At 40.2% G+C, this 17,394-nt stretch overlaps 1 protein-coding gene across 1 annotated transcript in view; it reads left to right on the forward strand.

Annotated features, from left to right (window-relative positions):
- Window positions 1-17,394, forward strand: part of FRAS1 (Fraser extracellular matrix complex subunit 1) — a 486,947-nt gene that overhangs the window by 452,373 nt on the left and 17,180 nt on the right. The window contains exons 64-70 of the mRNA NM_025074.7: window positions 1,579-1,811; window positions 3,697-3,857; window positions 6,104-6,318; window positions 9,636-9,786; window positions 11,828-11,935; window positions 12,954-13,113; window positions 16,846-16,962. Of these exons, the coding sequence (NP_079350.5) occupies window positions 1,579-1,811; window positions 3,697-3,857; window positions 6,104-6,318; window positions 9,636-9,786; window positions 11,828-11,935; window positions 12,954-13,113; window positions 16,846-16,962 (1,145 nt within the window). The remainder of the gene's footprint in view (window positions 1-1,578; window positions 1,812-3,696; window positions 3,858-6,103; window positions 6,319-9,635; window positions 9,787-11,827; window positions 11,936-12,953; window positions 13,114-16,845; window positions 16,963-17,394) is intronic.

Below are 17,394 nucleotides of genomic sequence, written 5' to 3' on the forward strand. Positions count from 1 at the left end.
CCCAACCTTAACAAACAGCCCACCACAGTGATCCTGCACATCATACTGATAAAGCTGGTTCTCTTCCAAAAGTGAGCTGAAAGCAGTTGAGATTCAGGCTTAGTATATAGTACCTGGCATGTAGTAAGCATCCAACAATTCTTGCCTAAAATTATATCACTGAATGATTTTAGACATCAGAGATTTCTTTCAGACCAAATTTCTCTAGATTTTCCTGTTCATTCCACAGTTTATTCCCACTGTAATAAGAGCTTCACTGGGATGAATAGCAGAGGAAAACCACTAGACATAGATGGGAGGCTTTGGATAATGCAGGGTCGTTCATACCCACTCTCTTTGGCACAGCTTATTCAGAAAGGCCTGAAGAGCAATTCTTTTGCAACATAACCTAGTTCAAATTTAAATAGTCTTCTCTATTATTAAAAAATCAACATGGCAAGAATTACCAGCTTGTTGTTTCTTAAGTATCTATTTCTGTCTTCAACAAAACTGTAAAGGAGGTGTGGTCTGGTTGGAGCCAAATGTACATTTTTAACAGATAAATTTATGACTTTATGCTTCAGGTTTTCTTCTTGCAATGAATTTGTGACTAATACCCTTTACCCTGGTTTCCGTCACTTTATCTTGATTTCTTCAATTATTTATTTAATGCCATTCTATTATATGCATTCTTGTAGGATGCCTCAAATCCCTTCTGTACTAAGTTCATGTATATATAAATAAGTAAAGCATTGGCAGCTAATTAAAAAAAAGTTTAATGGAAAAATTTTCTTTAGTTTTTAATGGACTTCAGTGAAAATTGTTTTCATGGGTAAAATGTATAAGTTTGTGTGATTGCTTTGTGAGAGGTCTGTGGCACACAGAACTACTGATTAATTTTTCTTGTTATATACTTCCCTATGTAAATGCACACATAACCTAAAGAGTCCTGGTGACCTACATTGCCTCTGCATAGATTGAGTTAAGCACTCTTAGGGCTTCTGTATGTTTGGGGACTTGGAGGAATCTGTGGAAAGACCTTCAAAGACTAGAAGGTGTCAGAGGCCAAGTTCTCAGCTTCAAGCCTGCATGTTATTATAACCCTTGCAGTGTGTGGTCACTGGGTAGGGAGATGGGATGATCGAGGGAGGATAACAGTAGGATAAAGAGACCATGAGAATTCCTGGGAAGGAAGCATATTTCCTCTGTCTCCTGACATCATGCTCTCAGCAACAGTGATTTGGAGGCCAACCAGTCTTGCTAGAAGCCTGAATAACACTTGGGTCATCCTTCTGCTGAGCCTAGTATATAAAGAGAACAATACTATTAATGGAAATCATTCATCTATGGGTTTGTGCTCCACATCTGTCTACTTGCTTGTTGACTATCTTACCCCCTTAGGCTATAAGTACTCACTGATCTGTCTCAAGTGTCTGGTTCATAGTTAAAAGTCAATAATTACGTGATGAATGAATGAATAGATGGAAAAATCAATGGATGGGTGGATGGATGATCTTTACAGATTAACTTGAACCAGATCATGTAAGGAGCTGTTTAAGTAGGGTACTCACATTGGAGGTGATTTTTTCTTCCTGTTAGGTCCTGGACAGCATTTACTTCAGCCGGAGGTTCCATGTGCGTTGTGTGGCCAAGGCTGTGGACAAGGTGGGCCATGTGGGGACCCCCTTAAGGAGCAACATTGTTACCATTGGAACAGACAGTGCTATCTGCCACACACCAGTGGTGGCTGGGACATCCAGAGGCTTCCAGGCTCAGTCCTTCATCGCAACCTTGAAATACCTGGATGTCAAACATAAGGAGCATCCGAACAGGTCAGGCAGGTGGTGCCTTCCACCACACATAGATTGAAGTGAATCTCAGGTCTCCTTTGTGTGTTTCCCAGGACAATCAATAAGGGATGCTTCTGCATGATAAAAATGTGATGATGAATGCATCAGTAAAAGTTTAAATCTGTGAAGGTCCCTCAAGCTCGGGCCCCCTGCCTATCTTCCTAGTCTTTCTCTCACCTTGTCATTTTCACCGGCCATTCCAACCACAAGGAATCATGAGTAACTTCCCAAGTGCTACAGACTCTTACAGGTTGCATATCTCTGCCATGCTGTTACCTCAACTCTCCCTAACCCCCTTCCACTGGCCGGAACCCTACTGTCCTACAATACCTACTGCATGGCATCTCTTCTAGGGACATTTCCAACATCTCCCCTAATTTAATTTGGAGGCTTCCCCTCCTGGCTTCTCTGGCACCTGTATATGCTTCTTTTAGAAGATTATTAGCATTCACTCTCTCTGCCCTTTAGTAGATGGTAAGGCCTGAAGACCATGAGTATGTATTTTGAGTATCTTCTGCCAGTATAGTGCTTCTTGGCATCTAAGAGGCACTCCTAAATATCTACTGAACAAATGAATAATAACATTGTAGAAATTAGGAGACATTGGACTTAATTTTTTTCTGGGCCACCATGATGGGAAATGGATGTTTTCATTTTTGCATAGCAAAAAAGAATTTGTGTATGTTATGCGTATTTATTAAACACTATAGTATTTAAGTGTGTGCCTTTATGAACAACTCAGTTGCTCATAAACTCAGAAAAATGAGTTCCTTTGTATGAATAAAACATGTTTGAATGAATATGTACATGCTTCTTTCTTTCCTGACACAATAAAATGTATCTTGGTGACCCCTTCCTAGAAAAAAGGCCCTCCTCTTCACTTCCAGGGTTCTGATTCTACTTAAAAATGTGACTCTTTGCTCAGAGAGACAAGTATATAAACTCAAAACACACTTTCAGTAAACACGCTCAAAGTTTAAACTGGTACAATGACAAAAATGCAACCCATAAGTACTATCATGTTGCAGTCTTAACCAATATTTATTAAACTCATTTCTTATTTAGAATTGTATACTATGTGCCCTGGAGAAACAAAAGAAGTGAAGGAAATATTCCTTGTCCTCATAGTGGAGAGGCAAGACAAACAGAGTCTGAAAACATTTGAGAAATAGCAGCCAATATAAATAAGTTACAGATTTCCTGGTCCAAAGGCTGCCTAAGAGCTGAGGATGTAGATCAAGGAACAGCACACTGCAGATTGAGGCTGGCGGGGCTGGACACGTAGTGCTGATAGGACTTACAGGCAGACTGGAGAGAGAAGGCTGTTTTCAGTCAGGAGAGACAGTATAAGTAGCTGGATATTGTAGTTTCTCAGATTTGGCTGGGTAGAGGAATTGGTTTTAGAGTTTAAAAGCTCAACGATATATTTTTGACTCAAATACTTAAAAGAAATGTGAGTGTCAACCTTACCTAACTTCCATAGACATTCACTGTGACAGAGCAGGGGAACAGGCCCTCTCTAGTCACTCAGCTTTAGCTCCTGAAATAACAGAGTTTCCATTAAAAAGCAAAGGAGAGCTTTAAAGTAATTTGTGGTTGTGATGTTATCTTTTCCTGTATAGAAAAAAAATCTATAATTCTAGATTACTATCAGTCCTCTGTCTGGAGGGTCTCTTAGAGGGAAGCAATGATACTATGTGTATATGTATACCCCCTGTTCAGATAGAAATCCTACCTGGAAAGCTTCAGGAAGAAAAAAAAATGGTAGCTCATTGGTGAAGACAAATTAGGTGATGAGAAAGAAGTATGTCCTATTGACCATTTATAGCAGTCAGCTAAACATTTATTTCTGCCTTTTTCCCCCTAGAATCCACATTTCGGTGCAGATCCCACACCAGGATGGAATGCTGCCCCTTATCTCCACCATGCCGTTGCACAACTTACATTTTCTACTGTCTGAGTCCATCTACAGACACCAGCACGTCTGCTCCAATTTAGTTACCACCTATGACCTGAGAGGCATCTCAGGTGAGATTGACAAGTTCAGGACTGGTCTTTCCATGCTAGCCCAGTGCAGTTGACTTTCAGGATATGCCAGAGTGAGAACTGCTTTTCATGTTTTCTGGTCCTCAGAATCCACATATTAGTGGTTTTCCTTCTAGCACACATGCAAATGCCATCAGTTCAGTCAATGCAGTGGACAGGAAGAAACAAGGACTTTGGAATCACACTGGTTCAAATCCTTATTCCACTGAACAAATATAGTTTGACCTTTCTGAGCCACTGTTGTCTATAAAGTGGGAATAACAATTGCTACCACTCAAGATGAGGATTAAATGCGTTGACATTTTTAAAGCACCTACTATGGTATATTTTAGTGTCTTCATTCCCTTAGAGTGAGCATGTTTACATTGGTGCTCCAAAAACCTGTTATAGAAAGCTGAAGTGAAGATGGTATAGGATGAGTTCTCCAGAAGCAGGAGCTGAGAGGGAGTTTGGGGTTACAAGATGTTTATTAGGGATCAATATCTGTGAAAGAGAAGGAGCGAAACAGGATTGGGCAGAGGGAGAAGTCAAGCTGCAATGCAGGCTGAAAAAGCCATCTCGGCCATGGCAGGGAGCTCTGGAGAGACTTGTCCTACTTCCAGCTGACACAGCCAGACCCTTATAGCCTACCTAGCTAAGTCACTGGATGCAGGCTGCCCCGCAAGGGCATGACCTTGGGCTGAGCCAATATGCAGCTGACGCAGAGCTGAAGGAGCTGACAGCTGAGGCAGCGCATCTCTGTGTTCACCACAGCAGACATTTGACTTTACAAAGAATTCTGTCCATTTCCATTTACCTTAGCAAGTGCACATTAAATGCATATTTCCTCCTTTCACAAATGATGAAACACTTAACAGTGTTTTTGAAGACAGAAATGCATTCATATTCTCTTTCATATTCATTAAGCATCACTTTTGGTCATGATGGTCTTTATACAGTAGAAATTAGCTGAGTGAAAATTATTTATAAATCACTGAGCTACATATGAAAGTTTAATTGGTCCACATCTGTAGCTAGTGGAAGAGACATACTGTGTTTAAATACTAAACTTTGCACCTGTTCCTGCTTAAAAGCAATTAAATTCAAGACATGTTAATTGAGTACCTAGTCATCATGGGGCAGAGGGCTAGGTGCTGGGTCTCAAGCATTCTAAGATATTTATCAACCCTTTTAAAATACTACAGTTGCTTTTAGTACTATAAAAATTTTAACCCAGCCGGGTGCAGTGGCTCATGCCTGTAATCCTAGCACTTTGGGAGGCTGAGGCGGGTGGATTGCCTGAGCTTAGGAGTTTGAGACCAGCCTGGGGAACACAGTGAAACCCCATCTCTACTAAAAACATAAAAAATTAGCCAGGTGTGGTGACGTGCACCTGTAATCCCAGCTACTCGGGAGGCTGAGACAGGAGAATCGCTTGAACCCAGGAGGCGGAGGTTGCAGTGAGCCGAGATCGCACCATTGCACTCCAGTCTGGGTGACAGAGTAAGACTCCATCTCAAAAAAAAAAAAAAATTTAACCCTCATATTCTAAAATTGTGTCTGTGTTCAGCTCCCTACTGCATAAAGTTCTCCCTTAATTTAGAGCCATTCATGTGCTTGGCAGCATTTGATTAAATAATTTTTGCCTGGCACAGGTGAGAGTTACAGGCATCATTAGTGACCTATTTACTCACTAACAAAAAATTAAGACTTTCCCCCGACAAGAGTTCAGAAACTGTATGAGCAAGAAGTAGTCAAATGTAGGTATGCTGGCTTTTTTTTTTTTTTTTGAGATGGGGTCTCAAAAAAGAAATTTTAAAAATCACTCTTAAAATAATAATTCACCAATGAATGAGCCATACAGTAAATCCATTTCTTCAGCAGTGGTGGGGACATATATGAAGCACAGGACCAGACTTGCCAGGTATAACAGGCAAAGCTTCAGAGAGTTTTCCTTTCCAAGTTCTGCCGCCTTCATTCATGGTATCATTTGCTCACCTTTTCCTCCCTGGTTCCTGTGGTCTCTTAGAGGTGGAGTCCTCCATTCAACACCTGGCAACAGCAGTTAGCAAGCGCTTTCCAAGATCCCTCACATTCTCCCTGCACATTGGGAGCCCTGGGTTGCTTTGTTAGTAGGGTCTCAGGTGATTGAAAGTGCTTTTAGTGCAAAAGGGTGAGCTCTTCACCCCACCCTGCTCCTTGGCATCCACAAACCAAGTTATCGTTCCTTGTTCTTCCCTCCCTGGCAGAGGCAGGGTTCCTGGATGATGTGGTCTATGATAGCACTGCCCTGGGGCCTGGCTACGATCGCCCCTTCCAGTTTGACCCCAGCGTGCGAGAGCCGAAGACCATCCAGCTCTACAAACACCTGAACCTGAAGAGCTGCGTGTGGACCTTTGATGCTTATTATGACATGACTGAGCTGATTGACGTCTGTGGGGGCTCTGTAACCGCTGACTTCCAGGTAGGTGCCCCGGGGCTTGTCTGAGGACTCTGCATATGGGTGCCATGGTCAACCTTGTTTGTTCCTGAAGCACTTCAATTAGCACTTTGCCTCCAGAACTGGGACAACCAACTAAGGGAGTCTTCTTTATAAGTCCCTCAAGCAAGATCTTGGCAGCACTGAAGCTAGAGAAGGCCCCCAAAGTCCTCTAAATCAAGTTAATGTGGAAAAAACTTACTGTCTGGCATACTCACTTATGTAAAAATCCAATATTTACTTCTCTAGGCATATATGTTTTTGTATTTATAATGCATATATTTTGGAAAGCCAAAAATATTTACATTTGATGCTAGGGTTATTACTACATTGATATATTCTCTTCCCCACCTGGGAAAATGCGTCAGATGATGCAGCCTGTCTTTCAGAAGATAAGAAGAGCTCTGTTGTCCTATGCATTGTGGAAAGATAATTGCTTAAAACATTTTTATTTCACACCTGTTCCAAACTGCCAGCCCCCACAAAAATAGACACTTTCTAAAATATATATTACCATTAAACATTAGTGTGTTAGTCTATTCTCACACTACCATAAAGACAAACCAGAGACTGGTAATCTATAAAGAAAAGAGGTTTAATTGACTCACAGTTCCACATGGCTGGAGAGGCCTCAGGAAACTTATAATCATAGTGAAAGGGGAAGCAGACATGTCTTACATGGTGGCAGGTGAGAGAGAGCAAGCAAGAACAAGGAAAACTGCCTTATAAAACCATCAGATCTCATGAGAACTCACTATCACAAGAACAGCATGAGGGAAACCACCCCCATGATCCAATCACCTCCCATCTGGTTCCTCCCTTGACATGTAGGGATTATGGGGATTACAATTCAAGATGAGATTTGGGTGGGGACACAGAGCCAAACCATATCAATTAGTGACAACTGAAAAATTTATAGCAAGAAGCCAGAGTCAGAGAAGGGCGGTTATATCAAAGGGCCAGTGAGACTAGGCTAATCTGTCCTCATGGGAAAATTAATTCTAAAACAGGTTCTATCCAATTTTGAGCAGTTATCTCAATGAGCTAAAAACTAGTTAGATGTTTGTTCTTCATTTCAAATCAGGTTTATCCTCACTGAAGGAGAGAAATTATAGAGGGATTTACAGTAATTATTTAGAGAAAGTGTCTTTGATTAAAATTTGTCATTTTCTTTGTGGTGCCTCTCAGCCTGGTTTCCTCTCATTTTGTACACACTACTGCCATCTACTGAAGAGAATTTTAAGGCGTTCATCGGTTTTCCATTTCTCCAGTTGTATAAACTTTGACTTTGGAAAATGCAAAACTAAGTGATTTTGTTTCTTTCCTGGCCCTTCAAAAATTAGTATTCTCTGTTCTTTATGATTTTGCTGTAATTACTGTTTGAATATTTTTATTCAGAATATGCTTAAAAACTCAAAGACAAGGATTTGTTATATATAATCCCACTTTTAAACCAACACAGAAAAAACATGCACAGAAGTATTTTGTTGTTGTCTGTTTCTTTGAAAATAATTGAAATTACTGACGTATGATAGGAAGAATATAGAACTTAGAACTAAGGCCTAGTTGGTACCTTTTGCTGTCAATCAACAGGCTTGGACAAGACATAACCTCTCTGAACCTCTTCTGAAATTGTACTAATAATCTCAACATGAGAAGGTGCCTTGCACAGTGTGCCTGGTGTAGAATAGGCATGCAGTAAATATTTGTTGGGTTTTTTTTTCTTTTTAAAGATTAGTGAGTAATATCATGAGGGCTAAAGGAGGATAAACAAAAACAAATGAGGAAAAATTAATTTTGCCAATCAGCTAGAGATTTTATTGAAGTTCTGATAGTGTGATTGGAGCAGGTGTATTTAGCAAAACCTGTGTATAAGGGACAGAACATGGTACAAGGTCCAAATACAATCTGGAAATTTTCTTTAAAAAGAACAAAAAGAGGGGCTGGGAACAGTGGCTCATACCTGTAATCTCAGTACTTTGGGAGGCTGAGGCTGGAGGATCACTGGAGGCCAGGAAGTTGAAGCTGCAGTGAGCTATGATGGAGTCACTGCATTCTAGTCTGGGCTACAGAGAGAGACCCCATCTCTTGAAAAACAAACAAACAAACAAACAAACAAACAAAGTAAGGCATGTCAAAATGGAATTTTTCAATGAGTATGGAGTTAGTTGAGTCTTTTGAGAAAGTTGGCATCAAATTTTAAATCCCTGACAACTTTGAATATTAAAAAAAAACTTTAGAAAAATATTAAAACATTTGGTTTTTTCCTTAATTACCCATAGAAACACTTTATACTGTATTTTCAAACAAAAGAAAAATATAAGTCCCATAGTATATTATAGTAATTAGCCAATGATAAAATAAAATTGTTTTAAGCTAAGTTTTTTTGTTGTGTATATATATATATATATATATATATATATATTTATTTATTTATTTATTTGTGGAAAAAAGTATAAAAATATTTTAAAAATGTGTGAACTAACTCCCCATTCACACACACATATACAGCTAGCTTCACCACAAAAGCTTCTGCTACCATTCTGTTATCTTTCCATCCAGTTTTGTTCATTACATAGTAAAATGAAAATGATTGGGCCAAATTAAAAGCAGGAACACAAACTTCCTTAGAAGAAATGTTCTCTTGGAAATGTGATATGCTGCCTTTTCAAAACTCTTTCCAAAGCATAGCATGGGACAGGAAATTACTGAAGTACGTGCAGCTCTGAGCTGTCCATTGGTGAGCTTCCTATATATGATTTCAATGCTCCGGCCCTTTGTTCCTGGAGCAGGAGATGAGAGCACTCACTAAAACATCCTGAGTTAGGCACAGGCTCCTCCCAGGCGTCTGGATGTGGGCATCTTCCTGATGATGGTTGACTTGGGCTCTCCCACAGGTCACTGGCAAATGATCAATACAGGGAGTTTGTACTGAGTGGTAGATCCCACATCCACCGGGTTGATCCTTGAGAATAATTGTGATATTCTCAAATTTCAGCCAAATCTTCTAGCAACTGAACAGAGCTCATTCTCCCACTTCAAAAGTATTTTTGTTCAAGTGCCACCTCCTTAGAGAAGCCTCTGCACGTGACCCTGTCGAAAGAAGCATCCCGGCTGCTTTCTATTCCATTAGTTCCTTTATTTTTTTAAATAAGTAAGTGCAATCATGGGCACTTGCTTAATAATTATTGAATAAGTGTGTGACTACATGGGTGAATGAAAATGGAACCAAGATGTGGTGATAGTATGTCTTTTCATCCCAGGGGAGAAATAACTCTGTGTGCATACTGCTTCCTCGGCAGGTGAGGGACTCTGCCCAGTCCTTCTTGACAGTGCACGTGCCTCTATATGTGTCCTACATCTATGTGACAGCCCCCAGGGGCTGGGCCTCCTTGGAGCACCACACCGAGATGGAGTTTTCTTTCTTCTATGACACTGTTCTCTGGAGAACAGGTATGCCCACTGACGCCTTAACTATCCCTTTAGTTAGGGCTTCACTCAAGCAAGATTAAAAGAAGAGTAGTGACTTTTAACAGTAGCTGCATTTCTCATCCTGTTATCCCGAAGACAAAGTGGGGCCACCTCAAAGTGCAGATCTGTGGTTCCTGAAAAGAATGATGTCCTTCTGTCCTGATGCTGGAAGGTCTCAGCCCAGATAGCTAAGGTCCCAGCGTAGAGGATGGCAAGTGACAAATGAGTCCTCTACTGCCCGTTAGGGATTCAGATGGGTGTGTGTTCTTTTGGAATATAACCCAAATGATTTTCATTTTCTCCTAGTGAAAAATTGTGTGGTTCTTGTTTTTACAGAGCAAAAGGATCTTCAAATCAGATGCAAGGAAATGGAAAAATGTGTCAAGAGCACTTGAAATATTTATGTCAAGTAGCCCACTTTATTCATTTGGCAAAGAGTCTGCTCTTTAATTGCATCCTCCAAAGAAGGGATTTTAACCTTCCGAAGTCAAGGGCTGTGATACTGAATGTTTAAAATGACCTTTCCCTCAGGCTCATCCCCATTACTGTCCTCTTTGGGAGGAGCCTCCAAGAACTAAGTGGGAGGCAGCCCTTCAGCTGGGAGCCCACACCTCACCCCCACTCAGTTTCCACACCTCACCCCCACTCAGTTTCCACACCTACCTCCTCCTACTGCTTCCACATAGATGCTCCTTAAAACTCCCCAATTTTCTCCTCCGTTCTCTCCAATCGTTCTTGGTTATTTTTGTTTTTCTTGTTTTTTTTTTTTTCCTCATTTTTAGTGTCCTGTACTTCACACACTACCCCTAACCTATTTCCCCAAACCCATTTCCCCTAAATTCTGCTGCTCCCATCCTCCCTGTTTTCCTCTTCAGGGGTGAGGTGCTTTATCTGGGGCAAACATACTAAAAAAAATACAAGAGTTTTCTTTTGAGAAAGCTTCATCTCTACTAATTGAAATTACAGTCATCATTCATATCTATTAGTGTTTGGTTCCAGGACCTCCCACAGACACCAAGATCTGAGGATGCTCAAGTCCCTCATATAAAATGGTGTAGTATTTACATATAACCTATACATATACTCCCTTATGCTTTAAATCATCTCTAGATTATTTATAAACCTAATACAATGCATATGCTATATAAATAGTTGTTATGCTATATTGTTTAGGAAATAATGACAAAAAAATCTATATGTTTAGTGCAGATGCATTTTTATTCTTATATTTTCTATTTGAGGTTGGGTGAATCCACAGATGCAGAATCCATGATGTAGAACCTACAGATACAAAGGGCTGGCAGTGTAGTCCTTTCTTCTGTGAAATGTCTTAGGCTCAAATCATTTTTGGCTTTATATTTCTCATGGGAAAATAACTTCAGGCAGCTTTCCCACTCTGGGTCAGATAATTCCTTGAGCTCTTGTTTTTGTTTTGTTTTGTTCAAGTTCATGTTTCTAATCCTTACGTTACTCTTTGGTTTTGTTCTTTCTGAACTCACTGGGGACCATGACTACAATTTCCTTTATTAAAGCCACAGCTTTCTTGTGTCATGTTGGCTTTCTACAAGCTGGCTTTAATTCTCCTTTGGTTTGAGTACTAAATGTAGCCACCAGGACTTTGTTTATACCTCTGTTAAGTCCGGAAAGGTATCTTGGCGAGGAAAAGAAAGTATAATAAGAAGCAGATGTGCTGTAACCATACCCTGGTGTAAAGTTTGATAGTAAGAAGTTTTAAGATTCATTTTTTTGCTGAACCCTGCATCTGGGTTAAGTGGAACTTACAGGTTTGAAAAGTCTATGTCAAGAACAGTGGAACCATTACAAAAAAAAAAAGAACCAAGTGAAATTAGCTGTCATACAATTTTAATTGGCATATGTTTCTATAGACATATAAATGTTATCTTGTTACATTCAAATAAATGTGCAGCTATACTTGGAGGTGTCCTTGGGATAACTTATATGTGGTTGCTGTCAGGGAGGAATTTTCCATGCCCTAGCATTTTCTCTCTGCTTTCCTGCCCAGGAATCCAGACAGACAGCGTGCTCTCTGCAAGGCTTCAGATAATAAGAATCTACATTCGAGAGGATGGCCGTCTTGTCATTGAATTCAAGACCCATGCCAAATTCAGAGGTAATATCAATGCCGTTTTTTTTTTCCAACTTTTTATTAAGAAACATTTCACACATACAGAAAGTTGAAAGAATAGAACAGTAAAAAACAGTCAACAATGATTAACATTTTGCTATACATCCATGTGCACATACATCCATCCATACATATCTTTTTTTGTCACACCGTTCAGAAACAAGTTGCAGACTTCGTGTCAAGTTACCCAAAATACTTCAGTTGACATCTCCTAAGAACAAGGACATTCTCTTATAGAATCACAACATCATGATCACTTCTACGATATTTAGCATTGATTCAATAATATCCAGTCTCTATTCATATTTCCTTTATTGTTCCACAAACGTCTTTTCCACTTATTTTTATATTTGTTTATTTTATAACTGCTTACATAAAAAGAAAGAAGTTCCAGTTATGATTCATATGTTACATTTTGATTGTTATATTGCTTTAGTTTCTTTTAATCTAAAATATTCCCCCTACTTTTATTTATTCACAACGCTATTTCAGTGCAGTTTTAAAGAGTGGGGGTATCTTGCTGATAACATTTACCCTTTTAATGATGTTTATAATTATACCCTTCTACCAAGGACTTCAATGGCCCTAAATGTGACTTTTATCTGATGCTGATATTTCCATTTATAAACTACTGAGACCTTTCTACCTCCAAGAAACATGTTCGTTAGAATTCAAAGCTATGTATATTCAGTGTTCATTGTCACATAAAGACCCCTATTATTGTGAATATACTCATTAGCACCATTTCCACAAGGAATATTCCTATTGTTTATAAATAAATACCTATGACTATGATGACCATCACAAGTAGGACGATGGGCTAGGGTGAGATGCCATTCTATCCAGTGTGGAATATATTCTAAGGGGCAAAATGGGCTAAGCTTAGTTGTTTGAGAGAAGAACATTAATTCAGTTCTCAGGCTTTTGTGGGGCTCTACCAGGTACAGTCAAACTAAAGCTCTACCACAAGTACATTAAATGCATGTGTTTCCCCTTCAAATAGGACAGTTTGTGATGGAGCATCACACTCTCCCAGAAGTGAAATCTTTCGTATTGACTCCAGACCACCTAGGAGGAATTGAATTTGACTTGCAGCTATTATGGAGCGCTCAGACTTTTGATTCTCCACATCAACTCTGGAGAGCCACAAGCTCTTATAACAGGTAAATACAGTGATGGAGGCCTCCATGGGTAGAGCTGAATGGTTTTCCATTTCTTTCAGGAGCTTGGGAAATAGTGCTTTCCTCTGAAGGCTAGACTTTTATTTTAAAAGGGGAATTGATAGAAATAACCCTCAGCTGGGAGTAGTGGTGCTAGCTGGTAGCCCAGCTACTCAGGAGGATCACTTGAACTCAGGAGTGCGAAGCTGCAGTTAGCCATGATGCCACCTGCAAATAGCCACTGCACTCCAGCCTGGGCAACAGAAAGAGATCCTGACTCTTAAAAAATAATAATAATAATTAAAAGAAATGACATTCTAGCAAAGAAAGAAAGAAACAAATCTTGCTCAGATCAACTTCTGATATATAAATAGGAAGTGCTTACACTTATTGCAAGGGTGAGACCAGAAGGGGCACACATCACTTTCACCTACAACCTATGGTGGGGAACTTAGTCACATGGCACACCTGCCTACAAGGGAAGCTGGGAAATGTGTCTAACTAAAACCTTTATTGAATAAAGAAATTTCATTTCAATTACAACAACCAGTGCAAAATATAGTACCTCTGATTAAGCCCATGTGTCGTTTACAAGATTTATTCCTCTCCCAGACCCAATATAGAGGTAGAATAGGAATTTAACAACTATAGTAAAATATCCCCCATCTGTAAAAGGGAAGAATGGAAAAAAAAATTAAAACCACTATGAAAAGGATAAGTGGGCAACCAGGAATCTGTCATAAATATATGATCCCCATTTTATAGGTAATGAGAGTAAGAGCTATATTTAGCATTAAAATCTTACTTCAAATTGTCTTGAGAATCATTTTCAAAAAAAATTTTTTCTTAACTTAAAATTTTTGATCTTATATCAGATATTTTTATTGTATAGTGATTCCTTTGAAATTGATATCTAATAACCTTCAAGGACTGTGCTTCATGTTCTTTGTCCCAGTTTATAGACAGGGAAACTGTCTTCCTTTAAGTATTCTGCTGACATCTTCATTGCCACTTGGATGAAGCCCACCCTCCTTATGCAGCATACAAGGCCCAGCCTCCCCTCTGGTTTCACGTGAAACCCAGCCTTTTATCCACGTTAGTTACTCACCAATCCCTGAACCCACCAGCCCATCCATACCTCCATGCTTTTGCAATTCCCTCAGCCCTTGCTGCTCTTTTCCCCTTGCAAAACTAACTCCTCTGAGACCCAGCCCAGCTCAAATACTGACCCCTTTGTGACAGCTTCCCAGACTTCCCATACAGTACTAGCAGCTCCCTCCTCCTGGTTCCTACTCTGTTCCAGCTTCTGCTGTAACACAGCTCATTATCTTATGATGGTCTATCTGCTGGTCCCAGTTTTTCACTAGATTGTGAGCTTCTCCAGAGTAGAAGGCACATATGATTCATCTTAAATCCCCAGAACCACAGGTTTTAGCATGTGATAGGTTCTGAGCAAGTATCTTTTAGGAGCTTACCTTTGAGGTGAGGAGATAAAATACATAGATAAATGGCAAAATGAAGAACCCCACCAAGCACTCCATGCTAAACACACTGTGAGAGATACAGGATAATATCAAGACCGTAGTTGTTCAGGGAAGAGAGAGCCAGAGGCTGGGGAGTTGTATAAGGATTCCTGAAAGAGGTGAGACAACTTATGGTCCATGTTGTGATATGGGAAATGCTTAGATTCTAGCAAGGAGATTAAAAGAACTGCAAGATTAAAGACAGGTGCCTAAGACTGTGTTTGACATGTTTGAAGGGATCATGAGGAAATGGACCTAAGTAGTATTTAGGAATAGAGAAAAGTAGGACCGAAGGCTTGGGAGGCTATGCTATTTGTCTTGCATTCATTTGTTCAACAAGTATTTATGGAATGTTTACTGTTTGTCAGAGAAGGTTCTGGGCACCTTGAATATATTGGTAAACAAAATAAAGATCCCTAAGTATAGGACTTAAAGTAAGGAGACACAAAACAGTAGACCTAATAAGCAAAGTATAACAAATGTCAGAAGGTGATAAGCGCTATGGGAAAATGAATGGTATGGAGCAGGGTAAGGGGAGACAGAAATGGGGAGACATTATAATTTTAATTAGAATGTTCCCAGTAGACCTTATCTGAGCAAAGACTTGAAGGAGGTGAGGGAGTTGGCTATGCAGAAACATGGGAAACAGGGTTCCTGGTAAAGTTCCTAAGATGGCAACATTTGGGCATGCTTGGAGAACAACAAGGAGGCCCATATGGCTGGCATGGAGTGAGCAGGGAAGAGAGTAGTAGACAATAATGCTGAAGAAGTAAGGAGTGGGAGTAGGGCCATGGGATGGGGCCTTGTAAACCAGTGTGCAGCCTCTGGCTTCTACTCTGTAGTGCAAGGAGAGCCCCTACAGGGTTTGAATAGAGCTAGTCACAATCTAGCCAGGCATGGATTGTTCTGCCTATTTGAATATTTCTATTAATGAAGGGTTACTATCCACATTATAGGTGTCATTTTCCATGTAATTTAAATATGGTATACAAAGTCTCATTTCCTGCTGATCCAAGCTTTGAAGGAAAACTGCAGACATACAGACTTTTAGAACGGGAAGGAGCTTAGAAACAACGGCCCTGAAAGTCCTCATGCTTTGTTAAAGTCATGCAGCCATGGCAGAGGCAAGCTGAGGTTCTACTGGTTCCCAGTTTTCAGCCTGTGCCAGTCCACTACACTGACCCCAGGATGTGACATAAAAGTTTTATTATTGTTTTTAACCAAATCTTTGCTGTCAATTTACTGATAAATAGATAAGTATCCCAAAATGGTCAAAACAAGCACAGCATTTATGAGAACTGTTCACAGATCCCTCACAAACAGTTATAATGAAGATTCATAGTCCTGTGCTCTCCATTCAATGGATGACAGACTCCCAAGGCCCTTGAAGAAGGTTCCTGAAGCTTCTGAATGCTTGGCTGCCTTCCAGGCCACCTGACAGGGTTGGAGCTGCCACCCAGTGAGAAGTGTGGGAGACGAAATAGGAGAGAGGTCCAAAGGCTTCCTGCTCACAGAGTCATGAACTGGAGAATCCTGGGCCCCCCATAAACAGGGAAGTCCCCAAGTCCCCGTGAGTGGTCTCTAATGAGAAGTGATCTTGTTCTTCGACTTTATAAAGGGATGAGGCTATGGAGTTTGAAAGGGGAACCTCAAAATTGAGTGTGAGTGAAACGGGTGCAGGGACTTTCTGCAGGGTGCTGCTTCCATATGCTCTGGAGTGGTGTCCTGGAATCCTGAGGCATTTGCTACCTCCTGTGTCACAGCAGCACCTGACACTATCACATCTTCAGAAATAAAAGCTGCTTTTCCATTTGGGAATGCATTGAATAGGGTATCTGTCATCAAGAAACACTAAACAGAAATTGTCAAACAAGTCTCATGAAATCCAAAGGAAATGGCCAATTCTGTTCTGTCATCACCTGAGCCTTCTATGTTTTCATATGTAGTCTGCCTTTCTTAGCTTTCCTCATAGGAAGGACCTGAATACCTGAATACATGAAAGTAGCTCTATTTAACACCTCTGGATAATACTCTGAAGGTTAGGATAATTGAAGATGAGTTCCCGAAAATGGTGTTTGCAGACTTGTAAAGTTCTTAGATGCTGGACACAAATACCACCTGAAAACTGTTTAGTGAAGGCCATGTCTTTCTGGGTAAGCCAGCAACCTATCAGTTGTTCCCTACGATCACAGTCTGCTCTGCATGTTTCCAGGAAGGACTACTCAGGAGAGTACACCATCTACCTGATCCCTTGCACAGTGCAGCCCACACAGCCATGGGTTGACCCAGGAGAGAAGCCTTTGGCCTGCACTGCACATGCCCCAGAAAGGTAGGAAAATATAGTCAATCCTCATTATTTGTTGATTCCTTATTTGTGAATTCTCCTACTCACTAAAATTTATTTGTAACCCCCAAATCAACATGGTGCTTTCATAGTCATTCACTGACATGCACAGCAGAGTCACAAAACATTTGAGTCACTTAACACACACATCCCCAGCTGAAGTCAAACCTGGTGATACTCTGCCTTCTTGTTGCGGCTCTCATACTCCAAACAAGCATCCTATGCACAGTCTATTCAGTGCCATGTTTTTTGCATTTTTGTGCCTTTTGTTGATGATTTCTCCATTTAGAATGGCTCCCAAGTATAATGCCAAAGTGTTTTCTAGTATTTCTAAGCATCAGAAGGCTGTAATGTGCCTTATGATAACCATGAGTTCAATAGAAATGAATCAACAATATGTATTAAATAAGGGGTCTT

The sequence above is a fragment of the Homo sapiens genome, chromosome 4, assembly GCF_000001405.40.
Source record: "Homo sapiens chromosome 4, GRCh38.p14 Primary Assembly".
Classification (NCBI taxonomy): Eukaryota; Metazoa; Chordata; class Mammalia; order Primates; family Hominidae; genus Homo; species Homo sapiens.